Source organism: Homo sapiens, chromosome 4 (genome assembly GCF_000001405.40).
Source record: "Homo sapiens chromosome 4, GRCh38.p14 Primary Assembly".
Lineage (NCBI taxonomy): Eukaryota > Metazoa > Chordata > Mammalia > Primates > Hominidae > Homo > Homo sapiens.
This window is the reverse complement of record NC_000004.12, coordinates 25,455,534-25,476,624: the sequence shown is the minus strand read 5'-3', so window position 1 is coordinate 25,476,624 and position 21,091 is coordinate 25,455,534. Positions and strand designations below refer to the sequence as shown.

The window sequence follows — 21,091 nt, the reverse complement described above, 5'->3', positions numbered from 1 at the left end:
ATTTAATAAGAGCTTTTTATTCAAGGATTTCCAAAAATGTCTACTCTAAAACACAAAGTGAAATTGCTCTTACAAAAATGTTGGTTTGATGAAAAGATAGAGTTCAGTCTGTTTTAGACGAATTTGGTTAGATTTTATTTATTTATACTTAACAACCAATGCGATACTATAGTTTTAAACTATACTTCATGTTACTACCATCATTTACTCAGAAGGCAATACTTTTTTTTAAAAAAAAAAGGGCAAACTAAATTTTAAATTAGGTTTCAGAATTCTACTCATAAATAGTCAATCAATATTGACATAGATGCCATCAAGTATGCAAAGATGAACAGAATTTCAGTTACAAAATTTGGAGGAAAAAGCTTAATAACATATAAAAATACTGACAAATTTAAGCTAGGATTGGCTCTAGGACATTTTATCTTATTTTTATACTTGTAAAAGGATGGATGACTAGACAGCACCAGAAATGCTGCCAAAACTATTGTTTGGTAAGAGTTGTTCATATTATTATTATTATTTTCTTAAATTAGAGGTAGGGTCTTGCTTTGTTGCCCAGGCTAGTCTCCAACACCTGGATTCAAGTGATCCTCCCACTTCGGCCTCCCAAAATGCTGGGATTACAGGCATGAGCCACTGAGCCTGACCAGTTGTTCATAGTAATGAAAAACAGATCAATAGGCCGGACGCAGTGGCTCATGACTGTAATCCCAGCAGTTTGGAAGGATGAGAGGGTAGGGATCACTTGAGGTCAGAAGTTCGAGACCAGCCTGGCCAACAGGGCGAAACCCCATCTGTACTAAAAACATAAAAATTAGCCAGATGTGGTGGTGGGCGCCTATAATCCCAGCTACCTAGGAGGCTGAGGCAGGATAATTGCTTGAACCCAGAAGGCAGAGGTTGCAGTGAGCCAAGATTGTACCACTGTACTATGGGCAACAGAGTGACACTCTGTCTCAAAAAAAAAAAAAAAAGGAAAACAGATCAATAGTCTCTAAGTTACATTTCACAAAAAGAAATCAATCACTGTGTTCTGATTTAACTTTTGGGAATCAGACAGGGCAAAACCCAAGTATCATATGTTCTATTTCTGTTCATCAACACAAATAAAAGTCAACAACAATACAAATTCACAAGAAAAACATATGGTTATGTTTCAGGTTCTACAACATAAGACAATGTGATATAACTCTCCTATAGTAAATTCCTATTTTTTCTGGAATAACAGATTATTAGAAATACGAATTTCCAAAATTTCAGGTAATTTAGTAACTAATTTTGATTTTGACACCAGCTGTTATGATGTGAAAAACTGTAAAACCCTACTGTTTTCTTTCTTTTCTTTCTTTCTTTTTTTTTTTTGAGATGCAGTTTTGCTCTTGTTGCCCAGGCTGGAGTGCAATGGTGTGATCTCAGCTCACTGTAACCTCCACCTCCCAGGTTCAAGTGATTCTCCTGCCTCCACCTCCCAAGTAGCTAGGATTACAGGCATCCACCACCATGCCTGGATAATTTTTGTATTTTTAGTAGAGACGGGGTTTCACCACGTTGGCCAGGCTGGCGAACTCCTGACCTCAGGTGGTCCATCCACCTAAAACCCTAATGTTTTCTGTGTCTTAGCAGAGAAAGGACAAGGAGAATGCTGTGCTGAAATTCACCTGCTACTTCATTCTGGACCCAGTTTCTGATTACCCATTCAGTTCCCATGCTACCAACCTGTCCATCACCCCACCCTGCCTCTCCCTAGCTCTTAACTCCTTTTACAGAGTCTAGTTTCCTTTCTGTCAACTAATTCCCAATGTCCTAGAAAACTCTGCTTTTCTGCTTTAACGTTGATCCTAATCCATTTTAAATAAAAAGAAATGCTATGATGCTTAAAATGTAATTAAATTGGAGATGGAAATCAAATTACTTCAGTTTTATGAAAAATATATTTCAAGTGTTCTGTAAATATTTGCAACAATAATAGCAAGAATACTTAGACTTTAGACTCTGCATGGGTTCCTTAATTACTTGGAATAGTATAATCTTACTTTGATTACCAGTAATGACAAAAAAGTGGGCAAAGGCCATGCAACATACATTTGTTTGTATGTATGTTTCTTTGTTTTTATAGAGACAGGGTCTCGCTATGTTGACCAGGCTGACCTTGGCCTCCCAAAGTGCTGGGATTACAAGCATGAATCACTGCACCTGGCCCCCAAAACATGCATTTTTTTGGAAAGAGAATGTCACTTGAAGATTTCTTGGAGTTGGTCAAGGCATTTGTATATCCAAAAAGATTGGAAAAGTACATATCACAGTTATTAACAATGGAAAAGACAGGGACACCCCTGCTTATCACTGAGTTTTGCAGAAACACATTTATAAAATCTTCTCTTATAATCACATAGGCCTTTAAGAACAATGAATATGGCCATGAGCAATGGCTCATGCCTGTAATCCCAGCATTTTGGGAGGCTGATGTGGGCAGATCACGTGAGGTCAGGAGTTCAAGACCAGCCTGGCCAGCATGGTGAAAGCCCATCTCTACTAAAAATATTAAAAATTAGCTGGGCATGGTTGGCACACATCTGTAGTCCCAGCTACTCGGGAGGCTGAGGCACGAAAACCGCTTGAACCCGGGAGGCTGAGGTTGCAGTGAGCCGAGATCGCGCCACTGTACTCCAGCCTGGGTGACAAGAGCAAAACTCCATGAGTATGCCTGCATAGCAGAATGAATGACAAATGTATGAAGTTCTATGACAGAAAAGAGATCCTCACAATCTACCTAACAAGCTTACAAAACACTCCCTTTACCCAGGCATTAAGCTGTGTATCTCTGAAACATCTGAAAAATACTTTTCTGTGAATTACTAGGCTGTAGGGAACTAGCACTTTTAGATTCCTTACAATTATCTCTAGTGGAACTTGGCATCTTTCCTCCATTAACTGAATGCTTCAACTGGATCTTAAAAGAAGGTTGCCAATTTTCTTCCCTTGAGCCTCTCCAAGGTTTCGAATGCTCTGGATCAGTTTGTCTTTTGAGGTTCCTACCTTTGGAATTCTTCCTCTCTCCATTTAGCAATTTAGGGGTGAGGATGTAGGTGCATAACTGATATTCATCTGGGAACTCTTTTTGCCAGTTTGGCTTCATTTGCTCTTTATCCATCTCTTTCTGAAGCTGTAATGCTAATAACCTTTCTTCTTCCCCTTCTTCCCCTTCTTCCCCTTCTTCTTCTTCCCCTTCCCCTTCCCCTTCTTCTTCTTCCCCTTCCCCTTCCCCTTCCCCGTCCCCGTCCCCGTCCCCTTCCCCGTCCCCTTCCCCTTCCCCTTCTCCTTCTCCTTCTTCATGTCTCTCAAAGAATATGTGTTCCAGGCCCGGAGGAGTGGCTCATGTCTGTAATCCCAACACTTTGGGGGGCCAAAGCGGGCTGATCACCTGAGGCCAGGAGTTTGAGGCTAGCCTGGCCAACATGGCAAAACCCTGTCTCTACCAAAAAAATACAAAAATTAGCCAGGTGTGGTGGCTCACACCTGCAATCCCAGCTACTGGGGAGGCTGAGGCAGGAGAACCGCTTGAACCCAGGAGGCAGAGGTTGCAGTGAGCTGAGATCATGCCACTGCACTCTAGCCTGGGCGACAGAGAGACTCCATACCAATCAATCAATCAATAAATGTTCCCAAATCTATGATTTTTTGTTTTTTTGTTTTTTTTTTCTTTGAGACAGAGTCTCGCTCTGTTGGCTGGAGGGCAGTGGCACGATCTGGTCTCACTGCAACCTCCACCTCCCGGGTTCAAGCGATTCTCCTGCCTCAGCCTCCTGAGTAGCTGGGGTTACAGACATGCACCACCACACCAAGCTAATTTTTGTATTTTTAGTAGAGATGAAGTTTCACCATGTTGGCCAGGCTGGTCTCAAACTCCTGACCTCAAGGGATCCACCCGCCTCAGCCTCCCAAAGTCGAATCTATGAGTCATTGAATAAAGTTTATTTCTGTTTCCTCTTGACCTGAGGAAGATTTGGGGAACACTTTCCTTCTTCTTGAAGAAAGCATGGATCCCTGACTGCTTCAGATGAAGATTCCTGTTTTTTCCCCTTGGAAACATCCTTTCTGATCAGTAATTTTACTTATATATTCTAATGAATTTGTTCTTTTTCTTATCAATTTCTAGAGGATTTTTATCCACTTGAGAGATTAGTCTTTTATCTATGCTAAAATTTCATCCAGTTGATTGTCTTTTTTAATGATGTTAATAACTTTTTAAAGCTAGAAATACCTTTTTTCATATTTTCTTTTTAAAAAGAAAGAAATTATTTCACATTTTCTGCTATGTTTTTATGGTTTTATCTTGTACAATGAAATCTTTTATCTCTTTGAAATTTATCAGGTTGAATTTTCCTGGACCAGTCAACTGGGGAGAAATGGGAACAGGCCAGGATAGCTCTCCAGGCTTTATAATCTATAAGGTCTAGCTTTCTCTGCTGCCACAAAGACAGACTGCTTCCTGCAAAAATGGCTTCACAAAGTATTTCTATAATACTTCCTGCATTGCTTCTCTGAATATAATTGAGTCTAGGAGATCTTCTGTTCCCAGCCTGCATATCCCAGTTCACTTACAGGTGGTTACAAACAAAAGCAATAACTTTCACATTTTAGAGCCCTTCCTTCAGGAGACAAATTTTTGGTGGCACTTTGTAACATATGAAACCACTGGGCCATTCCATCACTCTGGGTGCCACTCTCGTACAATCCCTAATCCAAAAGCCTGAGATCTGAAATGCTTCAAAATCCAAAACTTTTCAAAGGCCAACATGATGTCACAAGTGGAAAATTCCACACCTGACCTCCTGTGATAGGTTGCAGTCAAAATGCAAGTACCCAACACACAGTTTATTCAGCATCCCCAAGGAAAAAAGACCTTCTCAGCTGCCTTCAACTTTATATCTGGCATATATATTTTCCATGCATGCCCAGATCCCCCCATGCAAGCACACCCACAAAGGGTAAGAAAATGGCACGTGTGCAGGCCAGAAGCGCCAACAGCATGTTCCCCATGATATCCTACATATAACCAAGACTTATGTGCATTACTCATTGTGGTTTTCATTTATTTTATTTTGTTTAGCTTATTTTCTGCTCTGTGGTATAAAGATATTGTTGAAACTGTCAGAAAAGCCTGCAGACATCCCTTTAGTCATAAGACTAAACAGTCATAAGAAAAAATGGAAGCATTTATGTTTATCTATAGCAAGACAGGCTATTGGACAAACTAGACGGGGTGGAAGTGTGAAATGTCTTACAGAAGACTATGGTGTTGGAGTGACCACCATGTGTAACTGAAGAAACAGAAGCATAAGCTATTCACGTTCTGTGCTGAAAGAGATGAACAGAAGTTAATGACAAATATAGAAAAACCCTGCATCAAGCTAAAAGGGAAGATCTTGATCACGTATTGAAAGAGTAGATCCATCAGCATTGCAGTGAACACATGGCACTCAATGGTATGCAGATCATGAAGCAAGCAAAGATTTATCACAAAGGGAACTGTGAATATTCAACAGGCTGGTTGCAGAAATTTAAGAAAAGACAACAATAAAGTTTTAAAGATTTGTAGTGATAGGCTGGGCGCAGTGACTCACGCCTGTAATCCCAGCACTTTGGGAGGCCGAGGTGGGTGGATCACGAGGTCAAGAGATCGAGACCATTCTGACCAACATGGTGAAACCTCGTCTCTACTAAAAGTACAAAAATTAGCTGGGCGTGGTGGCACTCACCTGTAGTCCCAGCTACTCGGGAGGCTGAGGCAGGAGAATTGCTTGAACCCGGGAGGCGGAGGTTGCAGTGATTGGAGATCGTGCCACTGCACTCCAGCCTGGCAACAGAGCGAGACTCCATCTCACAAAAAAAAAAAAAAAAGATTTGTGGTGATAAAACATGTGTTGGTCATGAAGCAGCAGAGGAATTCATTGCCAAGGTCATCACTTATGAAAATCTGAAACCAGAACAAGTCTATAATGCTGACAAAACATCAATGTTTTGGTGTTATTGCCTCAGAAAGACACTGAGTACAGCTGATGAGACGGCCCCTATAGGAATTAAGGATGCCAAGGACAGCGTAACCGTGCTGGGATGTACCAATGTAGCAGGCAGAAATAAGGGTACACTTTCTGGGATAGGCAAAATCTTGCATCCTCCCTGTTTAAGGAGTGAATTCTTACCAGTCCATTGCTATGCTAACAAAAAAGCATGGATCACCAGGGACATCTTTTCCGATTGGTTTCACAATGATTTTGTACAAGTGACCTGTGCTCACTGCAGGGAAACTGGGCTGGATGACGACTATAAGATTCTTTTATTCCTTAACAACTGTTCTGCTTATCCTCCAGCTAAAATTCTCATCAAAAATAATGTTTATGCCATGTACTTTCCCCCAAATGTGACTCTGTAAATTCAGTTGAGTGACCAGGGTATCAGAGCAATGAAGACTAAACATAAAAACATTTTTGGGCCAGGCATGGTGGCTCATGCCTGTAATCCCGGCACTTTGAGAGGCCAAGGCGGGCAGATTACCTGAGGTCAGGAGTTCGAGACCAGCCTGGCCAACTTGGCGAAACCCCACTTCTACAAAAAAATACAAAAATTAGCCAGGCATGGTGGCAGGCACCTGTAGTCCCAGCTACTCAGGAGGCTGAGGCAGGAGTAATCTTGCCTGAGGCCAACTTGACTAATTTTTTAATTTTTGTAGAGATAGGATTTCGTTATGTTTCCCAGACTGGTCTTGAACTCCTGGGCTCAAGTGATCCTTCCACCTTGGCCTCCCAAAGTGCTGGGATTTCAGGCATGAGACACCACCTCTGGCCCAAAATTATTCTAAGTCAAGGTGACTGTGATAATAGTGATGATGAAGATGACGTTGTTAGCACTGAAGAAAAAGTGCCTATAAATGACATGGTGAAAATGTATGATGGACTTATTGAAGGACTCCAGCAGCCTTCATTCACAAAAGAACAATAAATTATGTCAGTCTATAAAATCAAAGAGAGATTTCTAAGACAAAAACCATCATTAATGGGGCAGATGACAGTGGAGGAAGCGTTTAGAAAAGCCTGTAATCCCAGCACTTTGGGAGGCTGAGGTGGGCAGATCACGAGATTAGAAATTCGAGACCAGCCTGGCCAATATGGTGAAACCCCATCTCTACGAAAAATATAAAAATTACCCTAGCATGGAGGTGGGTGCCTGTAATCCCAGCTACTCGGGAGGGCGAGGCAGGATAATTGCCTGAACCCGGGAGGTGGAGGTTGCAGTAAGCCGAAATCACACCATTCCACTTCACCCTGGGTGACAGAGCAAGACTCCATCTCAAAAAACAAAAAAAAACAAAAAAAAGGAAAGCCATCTTCATCATCCCTGGAGGACCCACTTCCTGGTCCCTCAACTGTTTCTGATATTTCTTCTTACCTAAAAAATAAATAAATAAATAAATAAAATACAGTGCACAGTAACCTTTTAATCAAAACACAGCATCGTAGGTGGAGACTGAACGCCTACTGTTAATCACCTGTCGCTGTTGTTTACCAGCTGATGCGGGTATTCTGGGGATGCTACTGTGCTGCTTAGTTACCCTGAACATTTTATTTTCTCACTGCATTAATGGTGTGTCATATTTTTTACTGCTAAGTACTTATGTGTGAATAAGTTTCAGAAAATAATTGCTTAGGGCCAGGCGCGGTGGCTCACGCCTGTCGTCCCAGCACTTTGGGAGGCCAAGGCAGGCGGATCACTTGAGGTCAGGAGTCTGAGACAAGCCTGGCCAACATGTGAAACCCCATCTCTACTAAAAATACAAAAAATTAGGTGAGGGTGGTGGCGGGTGCCTGTAATACCAGCTACTCGGGAAGCCGAGGCAGGAGAATCACTTGAACCTGGGAGGCAGAGGTTGCAGTGAGCAGAGATCACGCCTTTGCACTCCAGCCTGGGCAACATGAGCAAAACTCTGTCTCAAAAAAAAAAAAGAAAGAAAGAAAAAAGAAAAGAAAAGAAAAGAATCATTTATCCATAACATATAAACTCAAAAGTTAGGAATGATGGTGATGCCAAACAACCACGGATCATCTACATGGGTGGCAGGGCTAGGGACACTTTTGCTTTCTGATGGTTCAACATACACAAACTTTGTTTCACGCACAAAATTATTTAAAATATTGTACAAAATGACCTTCAGGCTAGGTGTATAAGATGATGTGAAACATAAATTCTGTGTTTAGACCGGGGTCCGTTTTTAAAGCTATTACATGATGTATATGCAAATATCTCCAAATCCAAAGACATCCCAAACACTTCTGGTCTCAAGCGTTTTGGATAAGGGACACTCAAGCTTGAGACCAGTGCTTCCTCCCATGTAAGGTCTCACCTTGGATATTTTGGGCAGCCCTTACAGGTATTGTAGAATTTGTGGATTATTTCTGCCTCTTAGATTCTTGAAAATGTGAATCGTGGGAAGGGTTAGAGATGAGGAGAGGAGTATGTATTGCTTTGTTGCTTTTGTGTAATTTCCAGGAGGAGAAACGGAAAGGTCTTGGCTTCTATTACTGTCGTCATCCTGTAAGTCTTCCAAGTGAACCACCACGCCCGGCCTATTTCTCCTATTTCAATCATCATATTGGCCTTCTCCCTTTTGCAGCCCCCTAATCTGGGCTGGTCCTGCACTGCTGGAGCTCCTTGTTTCAGAAAAGGAGCAAGAAGGGTGGCATGAAAACATTTTGGGTTTCAGTCCAATGCCTGGGTTCAAATCCTTTCTCTTCCCTTTCCTATGTGGCCTTGGGCAAATCAATTCAACTTTTCGAGCCTCTGATTTTTCGTATCTGAAATGAGGATGAAAATACTCACCTCATCCAGTTACACATGGAAAGTAAATCAGATGATGGATGTAATGTAGTAATTATCCAATGAATATCTGTGCCCTGGAACTCAATGGTGCTGGCATCTCCAGGCCCCTTCCTAAAGAAAAGAGGGCCAGGACAGATGGTAAAAATAACAGTGCTGTCCTCCGCAGTGCTCATTCTGTTACTCATCAGATACTGTATGAAATCTCCTATCTCACACACTTTGCCTAATCACATTTGCTCATCCAAGGCCAAAATCAACAACAAAAGGAAACTGGGATATTATTGGTCTCAAGATGGTCAGAACACTGAGAAACTGCAGAGTACATCAGGCTTCCTGCGATGAAATGGCCTGAGGATGAAGTCACGTGGCCCCATAAGAGCCGTCCCTCTGGGAAAAGTGTCCCCCACTGCTGGGGCTGGGGCTGCTCACCTAGTGAAGGAGGAAGAAAGGAAGACAGACAGTAAAAACAACAGCCACTGACAACAACTCAGGCTGGTGCTGCAGAGGGGTTTCCAAGCCCAGGCAGGAAAGGAGGCAGAAATGGAAGGCCGGGTTACCGGAAGAGGAAGGCTACAGGAAGGGCCCGAGACTGAGGGAGTGTCCTCCTAGCTCCTGGTGCTTTAGATGAGCTAAGACAAACCAGCACTAAACCCCGTCTCAGGGCCCATGGATCATTCTTGGGTTTCTTTGTGTTTTTTTTTGTTGTTGTTGTTTGTTTGTTTGTTTTGAGACAGGGTCTCCCTCTGTCGCCCAGGCTGGAGTAGAGTGGCGCGATTGCAGCCCCCTCCGCCTCCCAGGTTCAAGTGATTCTTTTGCCTCAGCCTCCTGAGTAGCTGGGATTACAGTCCCCTGCTACCACTCCCAGCTAATGTTTGTATTTTTAGTAGAGACAGAGTTTCGCCATGTTGGCCAGGCTGGTCTCGAACTCCTGACCTCAAGTGATCTGTCTGCCTCAGCCTCACAAAGCGCTGGGACTACAGGTGTGAGCCACCACGCTGGGTGCCATGGATCATTCTTATGGGCTGAACTGTGTCCCCACCAAAACTCATATGTTGGAATCCCATCCCCAAGGACCTCAGAATGTAGCCATATTTGAAGTCAGGGTCTTAAAAGAGGTAATTAAATTAAAAGGAGGTTATTAGGATGGGCCTTAATCCAATATAACTGGTGTCCTTAGAAGAAGCAGAGGAAATTTGGACACAGAGAGTTATAGAGGGAAGATGATGGAGACATACACAGGGGGAAGGTGGCCATCTGCAAGCCAAGGACAGGAGCCTGGGACAGGTCCTTCTCTCATGACACTCAGAGGGAACCAACCTTGGCTACACATTCATCTCAAACATCAAGCCTCCAGAAATGTGAGAGAATAAATTTGTTTTTTAAGCCACCCAGTGTATGCTACTTTGTTATGGCAGCCCCAGCAAATTAATGCAGTCATCTCTTTGGAGGAGGCTCAGTAAGCCAGTGACCTCCAAGTAGAGTCACAGGATCAAGAGCACGGGGCCCAGACAACAGGGGCACAGCACCTGAGCCTGGGGTTTCCACCCACGCAACCGCAATGATCTGCAGTAGCCAACCCCACCCACCCGACTAACAAAGGGACACCATCCCTGCCCAGCCCTACCAGACCTGTCCATACCCCGTGACTTCTCTTCCCTCTTGACTGCCCTAGGTGTTTGCCTGACCTGACTCCCACCTCTCACCCATTACACCACTGCCACCTGGCCCCCACTGCCATCTGCCACACAGCCACTACTGCAATACCTACTGGGTGACCACCGGTTCCATTCTTGCTCACAACCCACCTGCACCCATCTACTCTCCACACAGCAGTCAGGATGAGCCTTCTGCAACCTACACCCTCCTGTGGCTCCCATCCCACTTAGAACAAATCTCAAGTCCTTCCTATGGCCCAAAACATAGTATGAGGTCTGGTCCTGCCGACCTCCCTCCTGCGGTGTGCACCTTCTCCACCCACCCTCCTGGCTCGCCACCTTCCTTGCCATTGCTTGGACATATCAAACACCTTCCCATCTCGCAGTTTTTGCATTTGCTGTTCTCTCTACCCAGGAATGAGCTTCCTCCTGATAGCCACATGGCTCCCCAACTCCACTCCACCATTCTACCTCTTTGTCTGACACACGATCTTGGGTTCCTGGAGATGTCACATGCTCAAAGGCTAGCAATGACCTTAACACCAGTGAGCCCTGAGGCACCAACTTTTGCTGAATGATCACCATGTTATATACACAATCAGATTTCCTCCCCATAGGTCCCTGGAGCAGGTGGACACCCATGAGGATCCCTCCCTCCCTGGATTCAGGTCCCTGCTCAAATGTCACCTGCTCAGAGAACAGGTGACACCCTGTTCCCTGATCACCCTGGCAGCACACACTGGGATTTTTATTGCTCTCCTCCTCTGCTATCTAATTTTTCTCCCTAGCACTATATAGTTATTGTTTATTTATCTATTGTCTAGCTCCTTCTCTAGAAAACAAACTCCTTGAGAGCAGAAGTCCCAATGCCCAGGTCAGTGCCTGACACAGAGCTGACATCCTATAATGAGTGGGTTTCCTAAGAGCACATAGACTTTTACTCCCTGGCCTAGAAGAAGGACTGACTTTTGGTCAAAATCTCCTCATGTGTGAACACTAACTAACCTAACGCTATGCTACAATATGGCTTATTATAAAAATCAAGTCATAAATGTTAATTGTTTGTTAAACTCTTAGGTAATTAATCCGATTAAGCTGATGTTTCATGGTAAAAGTACCACATGTAAATATGCATCATATGAATGGGTGAATTTGTAAATAAATGATGCTGGGGTGGGGTGGGTCACCAGCCCTATATCCCCATTTCTCCAGACCTGCTGCAGGACAGAAGGTCGCTTGCTGCAGCCAGATTTGGTTTTTTGTTTTTGAGACAGGGTCTTGCTCTGTCACCCATACTCCATGTCTTCATGTACAGTGGCATGGAGATAGTGATCATAGCTCACTGCAGCCTTGACCTCCCAGGTTCCAGCAGTCCTCCTGCCTTAGCCTCCTGAATAGCTGGTACCAGAGGTGCATGCCACTATGTCCAGCTAATTTTTAATTTTTTTTTAGAGACACGGTCTCACTATGTTGCTGGTCTCAAACTCCTGGACCCAAGTGATCCTCTCACGTAGGTCTCCCAAAGCACTGGGGTTAAGTGAGCCACCATGCTCCAGGTTTTATAGCTCGGCTGTGAAGATGCTCCTGGGCCATTCAGCCCACAATGACCCTCAGCCTTTGAGCACCAGCAACCGCTTCCTGAGCGACTCTGTGTGGTGGACTGCATTAAGTGCTTGACACTCCTGTCACATGGAACCTCTCTCACTACCCAAGAAATCCAGAAGCTCTCTGCCTATGACCAGCTCCTCCTAACTCCAGCAGGCACTTCTCTGTTCTGCAATTTGGGCACTTTGAGCCCCAAGGTGTTTTTCTGTTTCTCAGTGGGCGTGAGAGGGTCTCTTATCTCCTTGATTTGACCAGGCTGAGGGCAAACTCTTGCTCCCTTCCATGTGGAATAAGCACCCAGCAAAGGCTCTGTCTTCAGGAGGCCTCAGCAAGTCTCTGCTGATTGAGCGACTAACAGCCTGGCTGTTGTGAGGGGAAGGGTGCCCTCCCTTTATTTTTATTTATTTATTTATTTTTGAGACAGAGTCTCACTCTGTTGCCCAGGCTGGAGAGCAGTGGCAGGATCTCAGCTCACTGCAACCTCTTCCTCCCAGCTTCAAGCGATTCTCCTGCCTCAGCCTCCCGAGTAGATGGGATTACAGGTGCAGCCACCCAGCTAATTTTTGTATTTTTATTTTTATTTATTTGTTTTTTTGAGATGGAGTTCCACTCTTGTTGCCGAGGCTGGAGTGCAATGGCGTGATCTCGGCTCACCACAACCTCCGCCTCCCAGGTTCAGGTGATTCTCCTGCCTCAGCCTCCCAAGTAGCTGGGATTACAGGCATGCGCCAACACGCCCGGCTAATTTTTGTATTTTTAGTAGAGACGGGGTTTCTTCATGTTGGCCAGGCTGTTCTTGAACTCCCGACCTCAAGTGATCCGCCCGCCTCGGCCTCCCAAAGTGCTGGGATTACAGGTGTGAGCCACGGCGCCCGGCCTAATTTTTGTAATTTTAGTTGAGATGGGTTTTCACCATGCTGGCCAGGCTGGTCTGGAACTCCTGGCCTCAAGTGATCAGCCCCCTCGGCCTCCCAAAATGCTGAGATTACAGGCGTGAGCCACTGTGCCCAGCCACTCTCCCTTTATAAGCCATAACCTCACCCATCAACAAACTGGCCCCAGCTGGCAGCAAATGATTCCAATAGAATATAAGCTCCTTGCAGGCAGGGACTTTGTCTGTCTCATTACCTGCCATACCCCGAGCCCCTAGAAAAGCCCCTATCAACATCTTCCTGCTGACAACAGGAGGGCCTGGTGGCCAGGCAGCAGGTGGCTCTGGTCACTCCGAGTTCCTTCTCCTCTTATTGCCTCATCCCTAATGCCTGCCTCCCCCATTCAACAGTGAAGTTCCCAGAGCACAGGCTATGGTCATTCACCTTTGTATCCCAAAGTCTAACATTTGCTCCTTCCGTTCATGGATTCTTTCAATAACTATTTATTATGTGCCTATGTAAGGGCCAGGCACCATTCCAGGCACTAAGGATACATTAGGAAAGAAAATGGGCAAAAAACCCTGCACTCATGGGGCCGGTGCTTCAGCCAAGGTTGACTAAAGGTGTTCTGTACACCGGGAACTGTGCTGGGGCTGGGTGACATGACAATGAGTAAGGCCCCAGCCCTCAGGAGCACTGTATTCCCAAAGAGATGGAAGATGTTAAGCCAGCAAACAAATGAATGAATGAATGGTTAAAGACTCTGATACCTGCTAGCCCAGGGCACAACAGGAGCCCAACTGGTGTTTGAAAGGGAGTGGTGTGGGGTGCTTGCTACTATAGACTAAATGTGTCCCATCCAAAATTCATGTCAGCTCCTAAACCCCAATGTGATGGTATTTGGAGGAGAGGTTGTGGGGGTAATTACGTAATAAATGTGGAGCCCTCATGAATGGGATTAGTGTCCTTATAAGAGAGGGCCCAGAGAGCCCCCTCCCCATTCCTGTCATGAAGACACAGCAAAAAGATGGCCATCCATGAACCAGGAAACGGGCCCCCATCAGACACTGACTCTGCTGCCTTGGCCTTGGATGTACCAGCCTCCAGAACTGTGAGAAATAAACTGTTGTTTATCAGCCCCTCGGTCTATGATAGTTTGTTACAGCAGCCCAAACGGACTGAGTTGCTAAGAGAACAAACTCTGAAGAGACAAACACCAAGGCTTGATATTGAGCTCTGCCACTCACCAGCTGAATGGCCTGTGTGGCCCCATCACCTCTCCAAAACCAAGTTTCCTTGTCTGTGGTATTCATTTCATGGGGTTGCTGTCATAACTTAGTGAGATTAGTATAGTGAGAGGTAGAGAGAGATGGAAAGCCCTTAAGATAACAGGCAGCCCGGTTCCAAAGCAAGCAGGAAGGGAAGCCAGGTTAGAGGTTCATTAGGAGGCCGAGTTGACAGTGACTGTTGTGACCTACTCTCCAGAGCCTGACACCAGTCAAAGGTGACAACTTTGCAATACCCCACCCCACTCAGTCCACCCCACTCCAGGCTTCATGAAACACCTGGGACTGGTTTTGCAGGAATTCTACCTCCAACATTCAGATGTCAATTAATATTAATATTCAGCTGAAGAAGTATGTATGGCCAAGCCCTTCCTGCACCAGATCCAACTGGGCACAACCAACTTCAAGTCTCTCTGTGCCAGCCAAGCTCAGACATTGCCCATTCTAACAACATCAAATGCAGAACAACCCAAGAAGCAGAGAAAATCTTGCCTAGGGGAGCATCCTTGTTGATATTTGGGATCCCAGTTAAAGTCCTCAGTGAAGCTCCTCATAAGCAGCATATTACTCCTGCCATGTGCCGTGTGGGAAAATCAGGAGGCAGCAGCTCAGATGCCGGAGTCCTGATTACTGGAGGGCCTCTAGTGTAGCTCATTCATCATTCATTCTTTCAACAAATGTTAATTTATTACCTACCATGGTCTCCAAATAAAATCAAATTTGTATTTGATCATCCATCCATTCAGCAAATTTTTATCCTAACCTCTATGTACAGGGTGTTGTTGGGCTAGGGTAAAGGATGGCAACATGTCACCATGTTTCTGCACATGCCAGTCCCTGGTTTTAAAATCTCCTTATGGTTTCTGCCACCATCACCACTTCCCCATCTGCCTGCTTTTCTTTTATGTAGCTAATTTTATCCCTCAAGGGTAGATTCAGGCCCATCTCCCCTTGGCCACCCCTCCTGGTCCAGATGCTCCTCAGCTCTGCCCCACACGGCCCCACCCTGTGATTAGCTCTGTCTTGTGCTTGGCCTACTGTTTGGTAACCACCTATCTCCTGGTCTTCCTTTCTCTCTAGATTGTGACCCCCCCTTTTTTTTGAGACAGGGTCATGCTCTGTCACCCAGGCTGGAGTGCAGGGGGGCGATCTCAGCTCACTGCAACCTCTGTCTGCCAGGTTCAAGCAATTCTCCTGCCTCAGCCTCCTCAGTAGCTGCGATTATAAGCGTGCACCACCCTGCCCAGCTAATTTTTTTTGTATTTTTAGTAGTGATGGGATTTCACCATGTTGGCCAGGCTGGTCTCAAACTCCTGACCTCAGGTGGTCCAACTGGTTTGGCCTCCCAAAGTGCTGGGATTACAGGTGTGAGCCACCGTGCCCAGCCTCTTCTTTTTTTTTTTTTTTTTTTTTTTAGAGACAGGATCTCACTATGTTGCCCAGGCTGGTCTTCAACTCCTGGGCTCAAGCCATCCTTCTGCCACAGCCTCCCAAAGTGCTGGGATTGCATGTGTGAGCCACCACACCCAGCTAAAAGGGCATTTTTAAATAAATAATTACAGCTAAATTTCAGGCATGCACCACCATGCTTGGCTAATTTTAAAATTTTTTTGTAGAGATGGGGGTCTCGCTATGTTGACCAGGCTGGTCTCAAACTCCTGGGCTCAAGCAATTCTCCTGCCATGGCCTCCCAAGTAGCTGGGATTATAGGTGTGAGCCACCATGCCCAGCCTTTTCCCCTTTTCATTTGTATTCCTTTATTTATTTGTGTTTTCTAATTTGGTACAAAATATGAAAAAAATCTGTGGAGTTTTGTTTCTTTGTGTCATGTAGAAAATGAAAAAGGAGGGAAGTAACAAGGAAGACAAAATACACCTTTTAATGTCAACACTGTTTGGTGTTTATTTGGTGACCCTGAGGGCAATTTTCATTCTCATTTCTTTTTCTTATTGATGTTTCCAACCCTTTCAACAGTGACCATGTGTTGCTTTTGTAATTACAACAACAAGAATCCCTATACACAAAGCAAAAAACATATAGTTTGTCTTGTTTTTAAGAAACAAAGATTAAACTACACTAAAATACAAGGCGATTATCTCTGAATAAGTTTTGGGGCAGTTTTTTTCACACTCATCTCTGCTTTCCAAATTCCAAAGATAAAAAGATACTACTTGAATAAGAAGAAAAATAAAGGGAGCTGTGTTTCACGCCTTCCCTCTTCCCTTTTTCCCATCCTATCTAATATCCCATGAGGGTCTCCAACTTCAGCAGGAGCTAAGAGCCAAGAGTCGTCTGGGAGATGACTTTAGTTTCTTTCTCTCCTTTCTTTTTTATTGTGTGGTGAAGAAAGAAATCATAATCTGACGCCTAAAGAGGATTTCACCTTTGCTCTTGGTTGGACTCTAAATCACATTAGGACAATTAAAAAACCACAATGAGAAACATCTTACACCAGTCATGATGACTACTATTAAAAAGTCAAAAATAGGCTGGGCATGGTGGCTCACTTTGGGAGGCCAAGGCGGGCGGATGAGGTCAGGAGTTCAAGACCAGCCTGGCCAACATGGTGAAACCCCATCTCTGCTAAAAATACAAAAAAAAAAAATTAGCCAGGCATGGTGGCAAGCACCTGTACTCCTAGCTACTTGGGAGGCTGAGGTAGGAGAATCTCTTGAACCCGGGAGGTAGAGGTTGCAGTTAGCCGAGACCATGCCATTGCATTCCAGTGATAAGAGTGAGACTTTGTCTCAAAAAAAAAAAAAAAAAAAAAGTCAAAAATAACAGACATTGGTGAGAATGCTGAGAAAAGGAAACACTTATACACTGTTGGTGGGAATGTGAATTAGTACAACCTCTGTTGGAATGAGTATAGAGATTTCTCAAAGAACTATCATTTGATCCAGCAGTCCCACTACTGGGTAGCTACACAAAGGGAAAGAAATCATTATAACAAAAAGATACTTCCATACATATGTTATCACAACACTATTCACAATAGCAAAGTGATGTGGGTTGATGTGGAATCAACCTAAGTGTCTGCCAACAGATAACTGGATAAAGAAAATGTGGTCTATCTATATATATCAGAAAGAATAAAAAAGAATAAAATCTTGTCTTTTGCAGCAACATGGGTGGAACTGGAGGGCATTATCTTAAGAAAAATAATTCAGAAAGTCAAATATTACATGTTCTAACTTGTAAGTGTAAGCTAAATAATGAGTACACATGGATATGGAGAGTGGAATCATAGACGTCGGAGACTCATCAGCCTGTACAATATGGTGAAACCCCATCTCTACTAACAATACAAAATAATAGCCAGGTATGGTGGCGTTAGCCTGTAATCCCAGCTACTTGTAAGACTGAAGTGGGAGAATCACCTGAGCCCAGGAGGCTGAGGTTGCAGTGAGCCAAGATGGTGGGACTGCACCCCACCCTGCATAACCAGAGTCAGACCTTGTCTCAAAAAAGAAAAATAGTAAGACGCTGGAGATTCAAAAAGGTGGGAGGGTGGGATGGGGGTGAGGGATGAGAAATTACCTAATGGGAACAATGAACACTATTCAGCTGATGGTTATACTAAAAGCCTAGATTTTGCCTCTATGAAATATATTCATGTAACAAAACTGCACTAAGTCTATAAAAATAAAAATAAATGAATAGATAAATAACATTGGGGAAAACATTCTTCATGGAGTTTTAAAATTCAAATCAATACATTTTTTTCCCAAATAGATTGTAGAATCTTTGAGAGAAGGAACTATTTCCCAGTTGTTTTGATATGCCTCATGCAGTCTATTAAATTACCTGTGACAGGCAAACAGGGCTTCATCATTCACTCAGCAAACCTTTCTTGGAGGCTGCACTGAGCACCACCAATTCAGTGAGATCCTGGGAAATGAAGACCAGGCATGGGCTCTGCCCTAAAGGGTTCTCCCCTCCATTGTCTCCCATCTTTGTGGAGGAAACTGATCAGATGGATCCAAAAATCCAAGCTCGCCTCCTACCCTCACCCCATGGGAGGCCAGGCTCTATCCCTCAGTGAGGATTGATAGAATACAAGCAGAAAACTGGCATTCTAATAGAAAAGACAAAATGCTCTAAGAGCATCCTTGTTGATACGTGGGATCCTGATTAGAGTCCTCAGTGAAGCTCCCCAAAGGCAACATATTACTCCTGCCATGTACCATATGGGAAAACTAGGAGGCAGTGGCTCAGATACCAGAGTCCCGATTACTGGGGGCCTCTAGCATAGCTCATTCATCGTTGATCCTTTCAACAAATGTTGACTTATTACCTACCATGGGCCAAACACAGACTTGACTCTGGAGGCACAAAAATGAAAAGCTGGCAGGGTGCAATGGCTCACACCTGTAATCTCAGCACTTTGGGAGGCCGAGGTGGGCGGATCACGAGGTCAGGAGTTCCAGACCAGCCTGGCCAACATAGTGAAACCCCATCACTACTAAAATACAAAAAACAAACAAACAACAACAAAAAAAAAGACAAAAAAAAAACAAAAAACATGAGAGGCTGTGGTTAGTGAGAAGAGAAAAAGAATACAAGCAAGGCCAGGTGGGATGGCTTGCACCTGTAATTCCAACATTTTGGGAGGCCCAGGTAAAAGGATCACTTGAGCCCAGTAGGTTGAGGTTTCAATGAGCTATGATCGTGCCACAGCCTGGGCAACAGAATAAGACCATGCCTCTTAAAAAAAAAATCATGCAAGCCAACAATTATGCAATATGAAAATCCCTGGGAAACAGATGGGCCAGATAGCAGAGAGATTGCAATAGAGGTGCAGGAGGCTTCAGACTCTGGGGCTGTGACAGAGTCTAGCACAAGGAAGGAATGCTATAAACATTTGTGGGAGAAAAATGAGACAACAGACTTGGAAGATGAAGTGGAGGCAGGGGAGGGAGAAGGCATCCAAGCCAGAGGAAGCATTGTGTGCAAAGAGAGATGGAAATTCAGAAGAACCACAGGGGCTAGGAGAGAAATTCAGGGGAAAAAGCGGTAAGGAGGAGAGGCTTAGCAGGGTCCGGAGCTAGATTGTGAGGAATCTGGTACTCCAGGAAGAGAGATTTCACTGTGTCCTGTAGGTGCTGGAGTCACTGAAGAATTCTGAGAGAGGAAGTGACACATCTAAGTTGGGAGAAAGTTTCAGGAAATGAGTAGTCAGTAGAGGAGTCAAAAAAAATAAGGAAGAGCTTTAGAATTCCCAAACATTGGATTTGAAGGATAGGAGGTGATTGGGTCATTCTGGCATCTGTGAGGGAAGCAGGGAGGGAGTATTTGGGGAGGGGAAAAGCTGTAGCTGGGAGACAGGTAAAGAGGGCATTTATTATAACAGGGAAGGTGAAAAGGGCCAAGGTCTGAACTAGGGCGGGGCAGTGTTGACAGAGAGGAGGGGGACAGATGGGCAAGAGATTTAAGGGCCAGAATTGACAGCATTTGGTGGCTCATGGCATGTAGGGAGTAAGGAACAGTGAGGACTAAGATAAGACCCTGGATATGGCCATGGAGGAGGGAGCCACTATGATCCTTGACAAGACACATTTCTAGGTAGTGGTATGGGAACAAAGGATAGCTTAGGGTGCATTCAAGAGAGAATTGGAGGACAAGAAGTGGAGACAGCTGCTTCCAGGAGTTGTGTTAGGAGCAGAGACATAGAGCCACAGCTGGAGGCTGCTGGGGTCAAAAGCAGTTCTATATCTTAAAGGTGGGGGGTTTTATAGGACACTTGTATGTTGATGGGAATGAGCCAAAAGAGGGAGGGAAACTGGTGATGCAGGAAAGAGGAAGCCCCTGCAGGGTGAAGGCAAGCAGGACTGGCCAAAGAAAGAGTGCAGAGAAGTCATGGGTGGGGAGGCAGAGAGTGCAGATGTGTGGACAGGAGGCTGGCAGGAGCATCTTTTCTGTTGGCGTCTATTTTCTCAGTGAAACAGAAGGCTACATTATGAGCTGAGAGTGAGGATAGGAAGGAGGTGTTGGAGGTCTAAGGAAGGAGGAGAAGGTATGTTAGAGCATACCAAGAAAGGGAGCAGGGCCTGAGCAGTGACAACCAAGAGAGGGAGCAGGGCCTGGGGGGTAATGCATCCAGAATGGAGAAAAAAACAGTGAGCCAGGTGCCTGCGGTGCCCATGGATGCATGTGGGAATTACCAGGAGGTCAGCAAATGACAAGGACAACAAGAGTGCAAGGGGGCAGGGTATTGTGGAAATGGGCAGAGCCCCAGTGGAACTAAAAATCCCAATGAGGAGCATGGGGATTATACCTGCTCTAAGCTGGGTTGTTGAATGCAGAGAAAGAAGCTCCCTCCTCTCAAAAGAGCTGCAGGGTAAATGAGGTCCTCAAGCTAGAGTCTGGTTTCCCTTCGGGTTGGGAGGTGGAGAGTTGAAGGGAGGGTCAACAACTGGGGAGAGACTCCAGAGGCCACCATGGGAAATGTTGGGAGTGAAGTCAGCAGTTACGGGAAATCCATTGACATGTTCCTTTCTGATTGATACAAAGGATGCTTTCCTTTCCACTTTTGCAACCAAAGCCAATATATATCTGTTGAATGAATGATATGAATGGAAGAGTGATAAAATTATAAAAGGGGTGGGTCCTGGGTCATCAAGGGTCATTGCTATGGTTTGAATATGGCCCCCAAAGTTCATGTGTTGGAAACTTGTTCATGTGTCACATCTCAATGCAACCATGTTGAGAGGTGATTAGGCCATGAGGTCTCTGCCCTCACGAATGGATTGATGCCATTATTGTCAGGGCGAGTTCATTACTGGGAGAGCATACT

The 21,091-nt window shown here is 44.7% G+C and overlaps 1 long non-coding RNA gene across 1 annotated transcript in view, besides 1 other annotated feature; it reads right to left on the bottom strand.

The window, feature by feature from the left end:
- Positions 1-7,997: 7,997 nt before the first annotated feature.
- LOC105374536 (uncharacterized) overlaps positions 7,998-21,091 on the bottom strand; it is a 44,163-nt gene continuing 31,069 nt past the window's right edge. The window contains exon 4 of the long non-coding RNA XR_925494.3: positions 7,998-8,988. This is a non-coding gene — a long non-coding RNA (uncharacterized LOC105374536). The remainder of the gene's footprint in view (positions 8,989-21,091) is intronic.
- Positions 19,555-20,054: an enhancer, noted in NCBI's record as "NANOG-H3K4me1 hESC enhancer chr4:25458193-25458692 (GRCh37/hg19 assembly coordinates)". NCBI's record gives its function as "activates a minimal SCP1, AML or CMV promoter by ChIP-STARR-seq in primed H9 embryonic stem cells {active_cell/tissue: H9 hESC(primed)}" and the evidence as "EXISTENCE:reporter gene assay evidence [ECO:0000049][PMID:30033119]".